Source organism: Homo sapiens, chromosome 5 (genome assembly GCF_000001405.40).
Source record: "Homo sapiens chromosome 5, GRCh38.p14 Primary Assembly".
NCBI classification, from domain to species: domain Eukaryota; kingdom Metazoa; phylum Chordata; class Mammalia; order Primates; family Hominidae; genus Homo; species Homo sapiens.
Window position 1 is genome coordinate 147823913 of NC_000005.10, and position 20033 is coordinate 147843945.

Consider the following 20033-nt stretch of genomic DNA (forward strand, 5'->3'; position numbering starts at 1 on the left):
CAAGCCCCGGGTTATCAGGGACAACCACAGGCTCTACGTTACCACCATTCACCTTAGTAACTAATGGGGAACTGGCCCTGCTGGGGAAGAACTAAGGCTAAGTCCAGAAGCTGCTCCATAGCCTTGTTAAGAAAATGTACTTTTTTTGTTTGTTTTCTCAATGATTCAAATCTTTTTGAGACAATTATGTCTGACCCAAAATCTACATTCTGAGATAAGTGGAAAATCTCAAAGACTAAACTCTATTCCACCATATAGGCAGCTCTATGCCCATGCACGTAGACCTGTGCCAGCCACAATAGATGCTCAATCAAATCCCAAGGAAACCTAAAGGAGTTATTGCAATCAGCAGACTGTGATGGGTAACATGTTTCTGGACTGGGTATTTTCCAATTGTTCCTTAAAATAGTAGTCCAGTCCTCAAAGAATTTCTTGTATTCATGATCATCTGTGCTCTGCCATTTAATATCTGCAATCACATTTTCTAAGGCAGTGACCTCAGGATGTGAGAAAGATGAGGAAAGAAAAGGAATTATGAGGGAAACCCTGTCTGAAATTACAGGATTCCTGATGTTTTTAAAACTTGGTCTATTCTCAGTCTTACCAAAGTCCCCTGACCCTGGTATAATCAAACATACCTTTGAGGAAAAAGCAAATGGAAACAACAGGGGATATTCAGATACATTTATTCAACAATAAGGCCAGTCAGGCCTCGCGGTGACCTGATGGGATTTCAAAACCTTGGTTCTCAGCAAGGCCCAGATTTTTGAATGAGGATAGAAGTCTGGCGTTTCCTGCAGTAGAGATTAAAAAAAATATATCAGCTTAAACTTCACTGATGAAAAAGTGACTATGGGAGAAAAACAGGGGGAAAAATAACAGCTTCATTTAAAGTTGGAGAGGTTTGAGATTTATAATCTTTTCTCTGTCTTTCATTCATTTATACATTCACTTAGTCATTAATTCATCAAATATTTATTGATTACTGTTGAATACACTAAGGATACAACAGAAAGGAAAAATATCTGTCCTTACAGTTTTTACAGATCTCGTGGGGTGTTACAGTGAACCCCTGAAATTAAACTCAAAACTATTGTTGCATCTTTTGCTCCTGATGCCTCTGCCTTCGCCACCAGGTTTCCATCTCAGCTGATGCCTGAGCTATTGTTGGACCTTCTAATTGATTGACCTTTCATCTTAGAGCTCTGGGGATTCGTATCTGTGAGGTCTCACAAAAGTAAATCACATATTTATTCCACATGATTCCTGCCAGTTCTAAACATCCTCCCCTCCAGATAAAACCTCTCTGTTCGCCCCACACTACCATTACCAAACTAGTTTTCTCTTCCCTAAACTAAATATCTCTAAATTTTATAATTGTTCCCTAGAAGACTGTTTCCAGGTCTTTAATTTTTCTAACCATTTTTTCTTTGAATGTACGGGCTTACAAAAATTCTTCTACTTCTCTATTACTGAAGGACATCTGACTTCCATATACTTTTTTTTCTTTTTTTTTTCTTTTCTTTTTTTCTTTTTTTTCTTTTTTTAAGACAGAGTCTCACTCTGTTGCCCAGGCTGGAGTGCAGTGGTGTGACCTTGGCTCACTGCAGCCTCCACCTCCCGGGTTCAAGTGATTCTCCTGCCTCAGCCTCCCAAGTAGCTGGGATTACAGGTGAATGCCACCATGCCTGGCTAATATTTGTATTTTTAGTAGAGACGGGGTTTTACCATGTTGGCCAGGCTGGTCTCAAACTCCTAACAAAAGTGATCCACCTGCCTGGGACTTCCAAAGTGCTGGGATTACAGGCATGAGCCACCATGCCCAGCCAAACTCTTTAAGATTTTTTAATGCTTTCTTGTCCCACAATCATTAACTGCTCATTAATACTGATTTCCAAATCAGTTAGCATACATAAGCACACACACCTAAACAGAATAAACAAGAGTTGCTATGCTGTTCACTCTAGTTTCATATATTCACTATCCACATATAGCTATGTAAATGTAAATTAGTTTAGATAATATTAAATATTCAGCTGATCAGTTTTACTAGCCACATTTAAGTTAGTGTTAGCCACATTAAGGCTACTGTTTTGTGGCTAGTGGCTATGTATTAGACAGCATAAACATAGAACATTTCCATCATTATAGAAGGTTCTATTGGAGATGCAGGTTTATGGAAAAGAATTTGCCGGTACAGATTCCCTTTGAAGACGTAGAAGGAATAGAAAAAGTGTTTATTGAATATATTTGCCAAGCACATAATCACCAAAAAGACTGATTTGCAAGCCCTTGTTTGGTATTATCTACTTGTCTCAAACTAGGGTCAGCGTCTGGCTTTAGTTACTAGGTAATAAGTTTGGGACTTTTAATCAACAGTGAAAAAGGCAATGTCATACATTAGGAAATATGTTGTATTTGAGAAAGCAACATTTTGTCTCTAGACCTAAATTTTCTTATCTGAGAAATATAGGAAGAGAGGTCATGTTTTCTAGCATACAAATGTGCCTCCCATATTTACATAGTTTTGAACAAATAGAAAGAATAAGCAGAAACTCGGAGGTTTCAGAGGCTAAGCAGATAGGGTGTTCCAGCCCTCTACTAATATTTTTCTAATGTTTCACTGTAAATGTTGAGCGGCACTTGGAAATTTCCCAAGTCTCAAAGCTGTTGTTCTCTTGCTTTCTCCTCCCATTGGATGGAAATATGATGTTTGAGCTTAATGTCAAGAACATGGGTCATGAGAAAACTAACAGGTGGCTTCAAATTCTTTTTACAAGTCTTAATTATGGAAACAGATTTATTACAAAGTAGAATACCTAATGTTTTGGGTCTAAAACTTCAGGATATTAGACCTCTCATCCAGAGGTCCTATTTCCACAATACTTGCTAAACTCTGAGAATTTTCCAAAATGGTTTAAAACAGCCCAAGAAGAAGGTTTGCATTACAGAAAAGGGAATTTATGCAGTAGAATATAATGGAAATTTACACAGTCATTTGAGCCTGAGTCAAAGTCTTTAATATCAAGTCAATCTCAGAAAAACTAAAGTCACTCGTGGAATCCCTTTTATTTGCTTTGTTCATTCCACACCTTTATTTAACCTGGCATGCTCTTTTGATATTGCCAAAATTCAGAACTCTATTTAAATGGCATTCTATTCTTTTTTTTTCCTTTTTTTTAAGATGGAGTCTCACTCTTGTCACCCAGGTTGGAGTGCAGTGGCACAATCTCAGCTCACTGCAACCTCTGCCTCCCAGATTGAAGCGATTCTTCTGCCTCAGCCTCCTGAGTAGCTGGTATTATAGGCGCCCGCCACCATGGGGTTTCACCATGTTGGCCAGGCTGGTCTCAGGTGATCCACCTGCATCGGCCTCCCAAAGTGCTGGGATTACAGGAGTGAGCCACTGCACCCGGCTGGCATTCTATTCTTTTCATGGATCCTTTCTTGGCCCCTTTTAATAAAAAATATGTATCTCTGCTTCACTCCTGTTGCACTTTATTTACACCTCATCTTCTGGCATTTGCCCCAAGTTATAAGAAGCCATCCTATACATGCTCATGATGTTTTCTTAGTCATAAGCACAAGTAAGACAGGGAATATTAGCATGATGCTTGAGACATGCTAAGGTTTCAGTTGCTGAGTGAGATAGGAAATCTGTGTTGAATCTATTTCTCTGTATCACATCACCTACTTATGGTCACTGAGGAAATGAAGCTTTACTGAAACTGGCTTTCATATCCATAAGTAAAAATATATTTTTGGTTATATAATCTATACAATTTATATTTGCATAACTGAGGGCTTTAAAAAACACAATCATTGCAACCACTAATAATTTTTTTAATTAAAGGTATTTTGTGTGTACTTTATAAAAATCCAAGCTATCGACTATTTTGCTGTAAAAAATATAGGCTTTTATCATACAAGTGACTTCTAAAAAATAATATTTAATGCTAAATATATAAAAGGGAGAATAAGAAAGAGATAACTGTTTTTGGAAAAAGTAAATAGTTTGCTTTTCTCGGGGTGAGATTCATATTATCAGTACACTTGAAGATAACTAACTTAAAATATATAGTTTAAAAGAAACTCAAGTTTGTACTCACCGATTTTCAAAACATAACACGCATTCATTGGGATAAGTATTTCCATCAGTCCCACAGACAGGGTCATATATCTTGGTGCATCCATTAAGTTCATTGTAACATTTGGCCTAAAAATGGAATTAAACAGAATCATTTCCCATTATTCTCCATTCTTGAGTTCATAGCAAAATCTCTGAAATGGTTTTATTTCTCTGGGGAATAACTGTGATTGGGAGAATGATACTGTGTGTTGTAAGAGAAATAACCTACTATCTGGAGACAGAAAACCTTGTTTTAAGTCATGCCTCTGCTATTTCTAAGCTGTGTGACATTAGTAAGTCCTATGGCCCTTCTGAAACTCAGTCAGTTCATCTGCAAAACAGTGATGATATTACCATTTCCCACCTATCTCATAGTGTTGTTGTGAGATTTACATGGATGGGTGAGATAATGTTCAAGTTTGCAATTACTGCGGGTGCTGGCATCTCTCAGGTTGGCCACATCTTGGGGCACGTTCTTCCTTGTACACTGTAGTCCACACACACTGGTCTTCTATTAGGCACTTAAAGGCACTAGGCATTGTCGGGTGTTGGAAGTCTTTGCATTCTACTCCAGTAAGAGTTTATAATCATCAAATGATTGTCATTGTCCTAGACATTGTTCTAGTGCTTTTTATATATTATTCTGTTTAAACCTCCTAACTATCCTGTGAACTAAGTATTATATTCTTCTTCAGGTGAAGATAATGAGGCACAAAGCAATAAAATTAGCCAAGGCCACCCAGCTAAGGAATTCCTAAATTCAGAATTCAAACCTAGTCAGAGTTCCTGAGCTTTAGCTCTTAAGTACTTTATTCTACTACATCTCCCCACCAGTTTTGTTTTACTAACACTCATTTTTTTTTTTTGGCTCAAAATAACCCCTCAGTTACTTCGGAGCACCCTCCCTGATTTTTCTAACTAGGCTAAGTTCCTAACGGCAGCAGAACTTTTTCATAACACTTATCACAAATGTAATATTGCATTCATTCATGAACTTTTGGTCTATCAGCTGTCTCTGACTAGATATAAATGTACTGAGAACAGGGACACTTCTTCCTCTGGTCTCCAAATTTACTGAAATTACCTCTTAAACAAAAAAATATGAAAAGGTTAGAGTTAGAATATTTTTCTAGAAGGAGAACCTAGTTTATTATTTTCTGTCATTCATTATAAATTAGAGCCACACCTTGGTGATTGGGAGAGCTGCATGCCAACATGGTCAAACTGGCTGTAAGGAGGAAGGGCTACTTGGAGTGAAGTTGAGAAGGCTTCCACCCCAAATACTTGTCTACAGCTATCACTAGTCTATATAAAAACCCCTTCACAGCAAGCACTGTAGGACTATATGGAACTTGCTTATACATCAGTGAAATTGTCCTTCAATATACGCCTGTGGGTTGGAACTACTACTACCATTTGCATTTCTCACGTTAACCCTCCCTAGCATTCATACTCCTCTTAACTTCAGGCTAAACTGAAAGGTGACAGCAAGGCTGCATTTTTGTTGGATCAAACTGTTCCAGTCTGAGAAATAAGAAATTACAAATATCTCTTTACCTCTCTTCCCAGGGAGTCAGCTCCAGTGTTACCTAGAAATAAATCAGATATGGTAAGTTGGGTCCTAAATGAAAGAAGTCAGATCTATTCTTCATCAGAATTCTCTGCTTTCATTGCAGACTGTGACTTCTTTACTAGGCTCTTTCATTCCCCACCCTTTCTGATTTCTCTAATCTTCCAAAAGTATCTGACTGATTTTCCTGTACCCCTTCCTTGGCAAAACCTTAAAAAGTTTGAGTAAAACTTTGATTATGACCAAAGTATCTCGATTTGATGTTTTAGGAAGTTGATCTATTTCCTTGAAAACAGAAATTATGCACTTACTGCTGGAAATGAATCAGGCACTGAGCAAATTATCTTTTGAATACTCACAAACATTCTCAAAACCAGTTACTAGATCTTTAATCTCACAATTAGTGAAGTATAATTTTTATCTCAGTTTACAGATGAAAGTATGGAGAGTTTTTATAACTAGCTGTGAAACAGTTATCATAAGCAGTAACCAGGTCTTCTGATGCAAAGTTAGCTTTTTCAATTACATTTAAATTCCCTTTTGTAAGTATTGTTGAAAAAATAGAGTTCTTTTGCCAACTCACTATCAGTTCCCAAAGAGCTATTTCCAACAATTGCATCATATGGACTATGGGTCTAACTCACATTTGTTGAATTTACAGGTAGTCAAAATAGCTAATCTCTATTCCCCCAGAAAATAGCAGAGGTTTTGCTGACAACATATAGGAAATGATAACTGTGGATAAGTTCATGGAAGGGAAAGGGAACTAATATGATAGCAATCAAATAAGGAAACATTCCTGAAAATTAATTTTAATATCATCAATCTTTGAGGTGATCTGAGCAAAGAGGTAGTTCTTTGTATCTAAATGTAATGAAAATTAGTGAGGCATCTATGAGCTTGGAGAATTTCCCCCGGGATAGTCAGAACTTGATGTTGTTGGGGGCCCACTGGCTTTTAGAATCTAGTTGAGTCTAAAAACTGAAGAGCAGGTGCTCATCACAGGCATCTATTTGTATTAATTAACATGCATGAGGAGGGGGAAAGGGAACACTGACTGTTGCCATAAATATTCAGCAAATAAAACAAACAATATTCTTCCTCTTCTTAGCAAAGTGCTGATTTGGCTCTCCACAGGATCCTTCACTACATGAGAGGTGAAGTTGAAAATGTTAACCATTTCCAGTGATAAAAAGGAAACTGATCTTGGCTCTGCGGGTTCAGAGTTGTCTGTCAACATTGTCAAGATGCAGTTGGAGGTATATGTGCACCATCTATTCAAGCAGAATATTTTCTTTCAAAACATTCAAAATGTGTAATGTAAATACACAAAATGCAATTTTTGTATTTCCAGATACTAATAAGAAATACCAGGAATTGAAAATAAAAAATTCCCTTTATATCACATATATTAGCTATTCAGGGATAAATCTGACAAACTATACATGATTCAAGTACACTGAAACCTATACAATAAAAAAATAAATTTTTAATCAGTCAAATTATGCCTTTTATACTGAATAACTGGAAGCCATTTATCTATTTTATGCAATCCCATGAGAATTTAAAATTTGTAATTTGGCCTTACACATTTACAGAATGAGAAGTATACTTAAAGTTAAAATATTTTTACCCTTTTTTCTCTACCATATCCCAACAAAGGGTCAGCCACATCAATAGAGGAAAACCATTTTATTTCTGGGAATTTCTTACTAGTAGAATTGTTTTCCTTATAGTAGGTTAAAAATTCCTCTTAAAAAATAATTCTTACCTGTTGATTTTATTTCATCTCATTAGGTCCAAAACATCTCTCGAAGACTAGACTACATCAAAAGTCTAGAAGATAATGTGCTTCACAAAGCAACAGGTCAAAACAGTTTTATTTAAATTTGAAAAATATGCAACACTTACCAGATAGACTCAACAGGGCCAAGGCACTGAGAAGAAAGATGCCTGTTACCTTCATGGCTGAAGTTCTGCGTCCAGAGGTCAGTTGAAAACTGCACCGCACTTACCACGTCTCTTCAGAAGCCTGGGACTGGAAGGGTCATATGGCAGATGGCAGCAAGGCCCCACCTACTGGGCTATATCACAGATCTCCCTGGTTATTGATTGACTCTGTGTCATAGCCTGGCCTCCAGGTTCTGGGAATGTCACCTGTGTAAGAAAGGTGAAAGGAGCCAGGTGGGCCTGAAACATGCAAGGCAAAGATTCTGTCAGGAAAATAGTTCTAGTGGTTAGTTTGATCCCTAACTCCCTCTGTGGTTGTGGGAAAGTCATTCCCTTCTCAAGCCTGTTTTCTCACCTGTAAGATGAACTCAAAGATCCCTTCTACTCTGTAGTTCTGGATAGATGAGCAGGTATGGATAGCTACTAGAAAGAATTTTATTCCAAGTAGGGTAAAACCTCTCCATTCTTTTTTCCTTTCCTCCACTCTTCCTTTCTTATTCTTCTTTCTCTTTTCTCTATTTTTCCCTCACTCATTCACAAAACCTAAAGTAGCTGATGGAGTGGCAGATGAGAGGGAAAGAGAAAGCAAGAGAGAGAGAGGACTCAGTTCCCTAAAGCGTGTATTCTGGAGCTAGAGGGTGCTTGTTGGAGCCACTTTTGCTGTGCTTCTGTGTATTCATCTGGAAATTAAAATAATAATAACACCTAATTCAAAGGGTTACTCTTTCATCTGAGAATATGTGCTGGGTAAAAGAGAATATGTGCTGGATATCTACCATGTGTTATTAGAAGAGAATTCTCCATCCTCTCTCATGTTTTGGTGTGTCTTATGAGTAGAGGTACTGATAACCTTTGTTTCAGACTATCTTTTTAAGGGTGTTTATATAACAAACGACCTTAGAAAATACGTAATGTCTCCCTCTGCACCAAAAGGCAGGTTTGTTTACTGTTTAGTGTAATAAAGTTAATATCTCCTTCTAGGGCAAAGACCATGTTAATTGCCCTTTACAAAAGATTTCGGGTTTTTAAAAGCTTGGCCTTTCTTTCCTTTAACACACTGTACTTTCCCTGCAACTATCACTTGATGCCCCTTAAATTGGCCTGTGGAAATTGGGGCTTGGGAAACCAGAACAAATTCCAATACTCTGGCTGTTGCTATGGAATAATTAAGTCCCTTTTCTCTGAGCCAGGAGTCTGTGCCTTCTGCCAGAAACCATTATAATGTGGCAGGCTAACTTCTTAGCTTCCAAGTAGGATAAAATCTCAAACCCTTCCCAAGTCATGACAAGAACTGTATTTATCTCTTAAGACAGATCAGTAAATAAAAATAACAATCTCTGTCTTCATGGAGCTTCCATTGCCTTTTTGTTGAGGGAGGCAAGTGACAAAAAATAATAAGTGATTATAAAATATATCAGATAAATATTATGGAGAAAAGGACAAGAAGGATAAGGGTGCTGGAGGGTTAAGGAGATATGTATCATAGCGTAATCAGAGAAGGTCTTGCTTTTCAGGTGATATCACACAGAGACATGAAGGAAATGAGGATTTGAACTATGCATTTATTCCAAGGATGTGCATTCCAGACAGAGAGAATAGTAAGCGCAAAGGTTCTGAGGCTGACGCTGGTTTGACATGTTTGAGAAACATCCAGGAGGACACTCTGGCTTGAGCAAAGTGATAGAGGGCAAAATGGGAGATGAAATAATGGAAGCAGTGAGGGTCTAAATCTAGTGCAGTCTAGAGTAAGGACTTTGGTTTTTATCAAAGGGAAGCTTTGGAAGTGTTTAGTTCTTGAAATCACTATTTGGATGTTTTACAGCTACCTCAAATCTAATATGTTCCATACTACTATTTTGATCTTTCACCACAATATTTTTGTCTCTATTCTCCCTACAGCTTCTTTTCTTTCCAGTAGATCACTCAAGCCCAAACCTCGTTGTTCTCCCTGATATTTCCCTTTCCCCTTTCTATGCATCATCTTCCACACTTAATTTGCTACCAAGTTCTCTTCTTGGATTCATGTTCAAAATAACCTCAATCCTGGACACTTCTCATTAGCTTCCACTGTCATATCTAAGACAATGCCATCCTTTCCCCCTGGGTTTCTGCATTTCCTGCAAAGAGTTTCTCAATATTTGTTGTTATTTCTTCCTTAAAGCTGCTGCCCATAGAAAGGCCCATAGGGATCTTTATGGACTGCAAATTTGATCATGTATCTGTCCAGTTTCTCATTGTTCAGAATGCTCAGGAAGAATTTAGGTCCTGTATGACTTGGCTCCTTTCTATCTTTATTCCCCAAGAGATTCTTCCTTGCTCAATCTGGTCATTTCCTTGCTACGTTGGTCATTTCTCTGTTACCCTTTACTAGGACCAACAAAACAAAATAATACAAAACAGCTTTTCACCTTCTAAGGTTAAAAGGTTAAGTGGTATTTTCTCAAGAAGCCATTCTTTCTGGGTCTTCCTTTACTTCTTTCTGCATCTAGATTATTCCCTCCTATTGTACGATCTTCATAAAACCCTTCATTGCACTTAAAATAATTCCAACTCTATAGCTATTCATACGATTATTATGTAATATCTTTATTTTTAGGGAGTAAATACAGTTGCTTTATTTATTGTAGCACCTAACAAAGTGTCTGGAAAATAGTTGATACTAAATAAATATTTGCTAAAAACATAAATTAAGTGATAAATGTATATATTTCTGAAGACCAAGGTTTATGCCTTGTTCACTTCTGTGTCTCCGGTGCCTCCGGTTGAGTAGCCATTCATTGGTTCACCATTCGGCCTTTTATTCATTCAACTATTAATATATTCAAATATTCATCAAGTCCTTACTATACAAAAATTTTTGGCTGAGTGCTAGGGAAATGGATATGATGTCTGCCCTCATGGAGTTTAGTCTTAGCATTGATAGATGTTGGTTGGATCATATTTGATTTGATTTGAGATGAAAATATATTGGTTCTTTTCATCTCAAATCATTATTTAAATAGTAGTTTTGTGACCAGTAAGAAACTTCCAATAACCACTGTTAAGGAAGGTTCATATATGAGAAAAGGATTTTTTTCTTGGGTCTCACAAGCAGTGTGGGGAGAAGGGAATTGGCTGGGATCTGGTCACAGAAACTCATTAGATAATAATAGCAGCAGTAATAACTTTAGATTTAGGCCTGCCTGATGCCAAAGCCTGGACTTTTTTCACCAAACAGTGCTTTTTAAACATTTTGACTGTGAACCTAAAGTAAAAATTTTGAGTTATGGCCTAGCATATGCATTATATGTAGATATGTGAGCAGACAAATACAGTTGTTAAAAAATAAAACAGTCTTATTATATGTGAGGACTCTTGATAGATTTTTTTATTCTATTCCATCCCAGTTTGCCAATCCTAATCTGTGATTAGAAAAAACATTTCACTACAGAAACATATCCTATGGACCCTAGACAATCTTGTTTTTTAAATCACTACAATACTAAGATGAATTCTAGTTAAAAACTGGCCCTAAATTTGTGATAGGGAATGGCCCTTTGCAGACAACAAGTTAAAGAGGATAAAAAAAACCCATGGAGAAAGGGGCCTGTCTCCAATTATAAATCTGCCATTTCAACTGTGACATGAGTGGGCAAAACAGTTTTCTCAACTACAAAAATACACATCATACAGTGTTCATTTGGTGTGAGAATAAACCAAGAAACCATAAGTAAATATTGTGCAAAAATATTATTCCTCACATGTCCAGGAATTATAATTGCTAGCTAGTAATAATATCACCCTCCTTCCATGAATTAGAACAATAGAAAATATACTGAGGCCTCATACAATCAATTCTTGACAGAATAAATATTGTTTGCCCCGGGAGATGAGGAGTGCATTGACCAGAGAAATCCTGCCACCGTGCTAGACTATTAGTCATATTGAATGTGTTTACATTGCTCAACCTTGTGTACATTTTTTCCTTTTCTTCTTTACTGCTCTGAGTACATATTTATGCATGTCTATCTTTGGGAACTCAAGTAAACATATTATGACCTACTCCCCTCTGATTCAAGGACTAATTATTCACCTGAGTAAAGAGTGATGACAAAACTCAAGAGAACTGCTCTAATGGATGTTGATAATACATGTTGGAATGGGGATATTGGGCTGGCACCTGTTGATTTTCACATTCTGTGCCCAAAGTTTAACTAGTAAGAAAAAAATGACAGAAACTAGAGATATACAGCTTATTATATTTAGAGACCTCCTTGACATTTGGAGACCTCCTTGACATAGCTGCAACTTAATTCTTCAACTTTTATTTTTCATTATTTAGGGAACTTCATGGCTTTTCATAAATGACCTCTTGTTTTTATTCCACTGCTTGTTCTCCAAATAGGTTGCATGTGTACCTATTTGCTGTACCCATCCTCTACAGCTTGGGTAAAATGTCTGTGGTGCTTGATGCAATTAGGAAAGATTTACTCACTTTCCTTTGCCTCTCATAGCAGTTTGTAAAGCTATCACTTAATAATTACATTGATTACATCCTCCTCCTCATCATTATCATTATAGCCACTACTAATATTTTTCAAAAGCTTCTATTCATCAGTCACTGCAGTATTTTATTTTCATCATTTTAATCCTGATATCATTGTTATTTCTCTTTTATAAGAAAGGAAACTGAAGCACAGAGATTTCAGTTTTCTTGTTCCTGGTAACAGATTAACAGATATGGTATTTACTGATTTGTGTGTGTGTGTGTGTGTGTGTGTGTGTGTGTGTACAAACTTAATGTCATGGTTAGAACATTGGATTAAACTCCAAGAAACCAGGATTCTTAATTTAATACTGCCACAAAGAAAGGGTTGCCCCCTCGTCTATGTAAACCCTGCACTTAAGCGTCTCTGTTACAGCACTTTAAACTGGAAATTCTAATTTTTCATTTTTCTTATTTGTCTCCTTTACTAAACTCCTGGATGTCATGACCTTTTATCTACACAGTCAAGTACACTGTTAGATCCAGTGGCACCTGATAATATGTGCGAAATCCATGCCTTCTAAGCATTTGTGGGCATAGTAGACTTTAATAAGATTGCAAAGAATTGCATCACACACTAGGCAACAAAATATTTTAAAAACATGTCAGACTTTATAACTACTCTTAACTGGAAGTCTTTCTTGGTCATTTCCCGCCAAGCAGTAGCCAAACTTACAAATGTATGTTACTCCATCTTCATTCTCTTTTCTACTCTCTCCAGCCAGGAATGAAACAACCAGTTTCTTTCCTTGTCTAGAACAGAAACAGATGACACCTTGGCTCTGGAGATACCATATCTAACAAGTTCTTTTCAGGATATTTTCCCAAAAAAGACAGTTCTTTCCCTAAAATAAATTCTGGTGCCAGCTGTAAAGATAATAACATTTCCAGCATGTCATTTAATGATTGAAAGTCTAATCTTTGCAGAATGACAGACCTCAGTTCAAACCTATGTGTAACTTTGAGCTAAACTTCATATTTATGACCCTCAATTTTCATAATTTTTCCTCTAAATACCCTCAGGCTGGATGGGTTTTAAAATTCAAATTTTTTTTGTAAATTTTTGAAAAGTTATATGTGCAGTTCAGAAAGCCCAGTGGTGCCTGGCACAGCACCCTTTAATCAAATACACCAATAATTCTTCTGCAAAACGTATCATGTAGAGAAAATAATTATCCTTAAATCATCTCTTGACAGATTTTGCTGTCAAATGAGTTACAAAATGAAACAAAAGAAAAACTTCTGAAACAAAACAAAAACAAAACAAACCCCTCTGTGGGGTTTGAAATGATGAATTAGGGACTGTGGACCTGTAGATACTTCACAGAGTTGTTATGAGGAATTAAGAGGATAATGCCTTTGCATAAGGCTCATAGCTCACACCAGGACAACAAGGGGTTAATAAGTGCCTGTGCCTACTTCTACTATTGCTGCCATATGGTGGCTCATGTCAAATTTGGGATCAACTACGTGCCCTTTCTCTTTCCTTATATTGGTGTAATCTTTCCTTATTGTATGTTCAATTTATAGGAAATTTCTGAAACTGCTCTTACATTAACTTCTTTTCTTTCTTTCTTTCTTTCTTTCTTTCTTTCTTTCTTTCTTTCTTTCTTTCTTTCTTTCTTTCTTTTTTGGGATGGAGTCTCACTCTGTCACCTGGGCTGGAGTGCAGTGGCATGATCTCAGCTTACTGCAACCTCTGTCTTCCGGGTTCAAGTGATTCTCCTGCCTCAGCCTCCTGAGTAGCTGGGACTACAGGCAAGCACCGTGGCACCTGGCTAATTTTTGTATTTTTAGTGGAGAGGGGGTTTCACCATGTTGGCCAGGCTGGTCTCGAACTCCTGACCTCAGGTGATCCACCCGCCTCGGCCCCACAAAGTGCTGGGATTACAGGCATGAGCCACTGTGCCCAGCCACATTAACTTTTCTTACAGGGACAAGCCATCCGTGTTGGAGGCCACCTGTCTTGGACCCACAAGAGTTTTATGAATGCCTCCCATCAGCTCTTTTCACTGATAGACCTCTAAGTCTCGTTTTCCAGAAGCTTTGCTCTTCTCTCAATCTGGCACTGATCCCCTACAGCAATCATTAACTAAATGTTCAAACATAAGACAAGGAAGCATCCAGTTGAGAAACGTGTTTACTGGAAGAAAAAACAAATGTTTCTTGTAACCTATGAAAATCAAAGAAGAATTCTGTAGCTAAAGGTAGTAGTGTATATCTGGGGACAAAAGGTCAATTAATGAATAACCACATTTCAGATAAGGAAATATAGAATGCTGTGGAACAACTATAGCAAGAGGGAGAGTGTATGAAGATCATAAAAACAATTTCAGTAGATTCTGGCTTCTGGTCCCATACTCTTAACCAAACCTCTTATGTCTTATTAATGAATTTATTCTTGCCAATTCATATGATCTTTTTTACTTTTTCTCACTTTTCTAGATGTGTTGTATATGTCTCCAGACTCTAGTTGGCTTCACTGTACTGTGAAACATTTCCATATAATGCCCTGATATCATTTCAAACTTTTATACTTTATAAAATATATCTGATTATTTTTTAACAATTCTTCTTTCCCAAATTTCTCCAGTTCTCTTGAGAGCATAGCCATTATTTCAAATCTTTGGTTTAGAGTCTCCTGGGGTCTTGTTCTTTGCTTTTCCATGGCTCTTGATCTAATCCATCATCAACTTTCCTAATTCATCTTTCATCTACATTCATCTTTCTATTCATCTTCCATCACTCTAGGCCTACAGTATTCCCCCACGGTTCCCCATGGTCTCTCCTACTTGCTATAGGCTATCCATCTCATGGTCCTGAAGAGGGAGAGGACCTGGATTGATGACTTGATCTGCCTCTCACCAACACTGTGATCCCTGTCTCCTCTTTCCCTCACCAGCCTCCTATTTCCCCTAACATAGTCACTGGATTAGTCTGCTCTCATACTGCTAATAAAGACATACCCAAGACTGCGTACTTTATAAAGGAAAGAGGTTTAATTGACTCACAGTTCCACATGGCTGGGGAGGCCTCAGGAAACTTACAATCATGGCAGAAGGAGAAGCAAACACATCCTTCTTCACATGGCAGCAGCAAGGAGAAGTATTGAGCAAAAGGGAGAAAAGTCCCTTATAAAACTATCAGACCTTGTGAGAACTTACTCACTGTCACAAGAACAGCATGAGGGTAACCACACCCATGATTCAGTTACCTCCCCACTGGGTCCCTCCCATGACACATAGGGATTATGGGAACTACAATTCAAGATGAGACTTAGGTGGGGACACAGTCAAATCATATCAGTCATCAAACCACGTTAAACCTACTTGACTCTATCTCCATATTTGTTTTGCTGATTCTTCCTCCATTCAGATGATTATCAACTTGTTGAAGTTGCCTAACTGTTCATTGCATCCTGCTATTTTAAAAATATGAAAGTATTTTAGGATAGTTTTAGATTTGTCAAAAAATTGTAAAGTTTGTACAGAAAATGTATGGATATCCCTAACCCAGTTTTCCCTATTCTTAACATTTTACATTACCTGGGTACATTTTTCAAAACTACAAAACAAACACTGGCATATTACCATTAATTAAACACTATACTTCACTGTGATTTCAGTAGTTTTTCCACTAGTATTCTTTTCCTGTTCCAGGATCTCATCTAGGATATAACATCACATTTAGTGATTGTGTTTCCTTAGTCTCTCTGATCTGTGACAGAACAGACTAAGAAAACACAACCATTAAATGTGGGAAAAAATAACTGATTGTCCTTAGTCTCTTCTGTCACAGATTAGAAAATATTAAGGAAAATCAGTTATTCCTCGTTTTTCATTACCTGGACAAGTTTTGAGGAGTAGTCAGGTATTTTTTCAAATATCCCTCAATTTTTTAAAAATGTTTTTCTCATGAGTAGACTGGAGTTAGGGATTTGGGGAAAGAACCTCTAAATTAAAGAGATCAGATACCTTTCTCATCAGATATTATGGATACATGCTATTAATATGACATCACCCGTGATGCTAAACTTTATCATCTGGTCCAGGTGGTGTTTCTCAACTATAAAACTAATTTTGACCCCCTTTTCATAGCCCATTATTTGGAAGAAAGCCAGTAAGTGCAGCCCACATTGGGGAATGAGGAGTTAAGCTTCAACTCTTTGAGAACAGAGTATCTCCATAAACCATTTCAAATTCCTCTATAAGGAACATATGTCTCTTTCTCTTTATTGATATATTCATGTACTTAGAAAAGGATTTATATCAGTATAAATATTGAGATAGAGAAGTACAAAGTCTCGTGAATATGTATTTAATATTTTGGTTATAATTCAATAATACACTATTTATTTTGGTGGTCAAATTGTTCCAGGTTTGGTCATTCCATTGGGTGAGCTTTCAGACTGGCTCCTATAGCACTTTGACATACTTTTATTTTGTGTTTATTTTGTTTGTTGAAAATTTTGTTTTTGGGCACTACGAGATGCTCAACTCTCTCTCTCTCTCTCTCTCTCTCTCTCTCTCTCTCTATATATATATATATATATAATATATATGTTTTAAGAAAACATTTAAAAATTGTTATATATTTTAAGGTGTACAACATGTTTTTATATACATAGTTAAACGACTACTACAGTCAAGCTAATTAACACATTCATCATCTCACATTGTTACCTTTTTTAAAAAAATGATAAGAATGCTTAACATCTGTCTACTCTCTTAGAAAATTTCTGGTATACAATGAAATATTATTAATTATAGTCCTCATGCTGTATGTTAGATATTCAGACTTTTTTTTGTTGTTGTTGGAGACGGAGTTCTGCTCTGTCGCCCAGTCTGGAATGCACTGGTGCAACCTTGGCTTGCTGCAACCTCCGCCTCTTGGGTTCATGAGATTTTCCTGCCTTAACCTCCCGAGTAGCTGGGATTACAGGCACCCGCCACAATGCCCGGCTAATTTTTGTATTTTTAGTAGAGATGGGGCTTCACCATGTTGGCCAGACTGGTCTTAAACTCCTGACCTTGTGATCCACCTGCCTCGGCCTCCCAAAGTACTGGAATTACAGGCATGAGCCACCGTGCCTGGCCGATATCTAGACTTTTTCATCTGTATAACTTTGTACCCTTTGGCCTCCCTATTCCCAGTTTAATCCTGCAACTACCTTACTTAAAATTCCTTTTTGCAATTATGATAAAATGCAAATCCCTAGCATTGCATAAGAGATCCTTTGTGATTTACTCCTTACTTATGAACAAATTCATCTGTATCTCAGTTTAAATTTCAGCTATTCTGAGAAGACTTCTTTTATCAGCTGCCCCTTCCCATTAAAACATGGGTTTAGAAATCTTTCTATGTATTTCCGTAGTGTGCTGACCACATGGTAGCAGACTCTGAATAAACTATATTGAATGAATAATATTGTGATCTTCACAATGGCAATTAACCACAGTGTCTTCATTTGTAAAACAAATGTGATGGCTTTTTAGACATTAATAGTTTGGATGCAATGAAATAAGTTTTTGAAAATGCTATGTGAATTGTTATCAATTCACAGATATAAATTATGTTAGAAAATCGGGGTGAGAAAGGAAACAAATTACATTAATTTGAATCAACTCTCCCCCACGCCTCTCCAATGCAAAGCTCAAGACAAGTAGTTTACTTGGCAGCAAGCAGGAGTAGGAAACCAACTGTAAGTCAGGAAAAGGAGAAAAAGGGGTGCATCATTGTTCTGATTACATTGTGAGCAACTTGGGCTTCTTTTACACGGGAAACTTGCTATTTCTTTTACTGTTGTGAACAGTGGACTTAACATTCAATGCATGCAGGAGTGGATACGAGCAGTAAAGAAGACCTCAAGCTTATAGAAAACCTTTTTATATGTCTAACATCCCTTAAGTATCTACTTAGTATGAGGAGAATGTGAAAGTGAATGAGATATGGCCTTTCCCCAAGTTTTGGTGCTTAAATGAAGCATATGCAGTCAGAGAATAAGGAGGAAAACCAAATTCTACAAACCAGATTGGAAAGGGTCTTGCTTGAATACCAGGCTACAAAATTTGGGCTTCACTTATCATATAAAGGACACATAGCGAAGATACTTAAGCAGGAGAGTTACGAGTTACCTGATCAAAGCTGTATTTTAGGAATATTGTTTTGGTGGGGATTTGAATGGATTACAATTGGGAGGGAACATTGGTAGGTGAGAAATAATTTGATGTTAACTATTGGGAGCCTGAACTGGGAGGACAGAATGGAGCATTTCAGGGTATTTCAATGTAAATGAGAAAATAGCGTGGTCAGGGCTCAGAATCTCTGAAGCTGACTAAGGATGAATGATTTGGAGGCTATATGCCACCCAGTTGTCTCCTTTTATATTTGATAAGGAGCCAGAGGTCCTCGTTAACTTTAATTTTTTCCAGACATATTTTCATATAGCCCTTTAAATTAGATCTGCTGAACATCTGAGTCTTTTTCAAAGTTCCATCAAAGTTCACAGTGAAAGGGTTTTAGGATACATCTGTATGGTATTTCCTTGTGGAACAGTGGAGCTACTTTGTAGGCTCTAGCATGCAAAGATTTTGTTTTTTTTTTGAGTTGTGTATTTGTTTACGAGTTTATATCCCCCTAATAAATGTAATGCTTCTTTAGGGGGGCAATTTGGTTTTATATATCTTTATGGCTGCTACAGAAGCTAGCATAGTACTTATCACAAAGTACTTTAAAAAGGCTTATTTTCATTGAATGAATAGTATGTTCACTTAGGATTAAAAATGGGCAAATTCTGTTCTAGGAAATATGCAATGTGTAGGGTTTGCCAAATATCTTTCAGGAAAGAGACAGATTTTAGACAGTGAGAAAGACTTAATCATTCCCAAAGAGAGTGTTTACCCAGTAAGCTGCATTCGTTCTAGGGTCCTCAGTTCTGTTTTTGGAAACTCTTGGACACTTTGAGACCTAATCAATCAGGCTCTCCTTTGTGTTCCCAGTACCGCTGAATAGCTTCTATTATAGCTTTCCATGTGAACCAGGAGGTCCCTGGAATGCAGAGTCTGCAGCTTCCTTTTCCCAGTACCTAGTAGATCATAGGTCTTTAAAAAGTAAATGATGTGCCAAACACATAGTAGGTTCTTAAAAAGTAAATGACTGAACCAAGTAAAATTGTGTTTAAAAATTATTACCTTATTCTCAGATCTTTACCTGCTTACATTAAAGAGCCCCATGTTGTATTGTGAAATAAATAAGTTACAGGATGATCCCATTTATGTATAAAACATTGCAAATGGTTATTAACAGAAGGCTTGAATATAATTGGGTCAGAGTCAAGCAGTAATTTCACTGTGTAGTACAGTTTGGATTTTTTGAAGCAATAAGAATGTTTTCCTGTATTATTTTTTATCATGAAAGTAACATTTTAAAATATGAGAAAATTATCCTAAATGCAATTTTATTTTTGAAGTACGGCCCATAGCACTAATCATTTTGCAAAGCCTGCATTTGGAAAGAGTCTCCTATAATGGCTAATTAAGCCCTTGTAAAGTGAGAGGGAACAAGCTAATAGGAGGTATCGGGAACAAGCTAATAGGAGGTATCAGAAACAGTGAACTCAGCCTGGAGACCTCTGTCTCAAGAGAGAGGAATTATAATTGAGTTTAGTACAGCGCCAGAACCTTGAAAAGAGTGGGCAAAAGCAACTGAGTCAAACAATGATTTATCCAATATTAAGGCTGCTCTAAAATACTGCAGAGGTCCTCCAGTTGATCCTGTCACCTTTCAGATGAGGATGCTAAAGCTGAAATCAAGTAAGAAGCAAGAACACTTGCTTCCCACTTGAGGTAAAAGGAGCTGTA

The 20033-nt window shown here is 37.1% G+C and overlaps 1 protein-coding gene and 1 long non-coding RNA gene across 6 annotated transcripts; one reads left to right on the plus strand and one right to left on the minus strand.

Moving 5' to 3' along the window:
- On the minus strand, positions 670-15284 carry SPINK1 (serine peptidase inhibitor Kazal type 1). 5 transcript variants are annotated; one of them, XM_047417625.1, is made up of 6 exons: positions 15222-15284; positions 12851-12927; positions 7611-7856; positions 5687-5718; positions 4110-4216; positions 670-794 (listed from the first exon to the last, which is right to left on the minus strand). In XM_047417625.1, the coding sequence occupies exons 3-6, from the start codon at positions 7663-7665 to the stop codon at positions 749-751; spliced, it is 240 nt and encodes a 79-aa protein (XP_047273581.1). In that variant the 5' UTR covers positions 7666-7856; positions 12851-12927; positions 15222-15284; the 3' UTR covers positions 670-748. The 5 variants fall into 5 exon arrangements, with proteins under 5 accessions (XP_047273581.1, XP_047273582.1, NP_003113.2 ...); XM_047417626.1 differs by having other exon boundaries at positions 7611-7889; NM_003122.5 differs by lacking the exon at positions 12851-12927.
- On the plus strand, positions 6593-7699 carry LOC124901101 (uncharacterized). The gene is made up of 2 exons (XR_007058987.1): positions 6593-6958; positions 7497-7699. It is a non-coding gene; the product is annotated as an uncharacterized LOC124901101 (long non-coding RNA).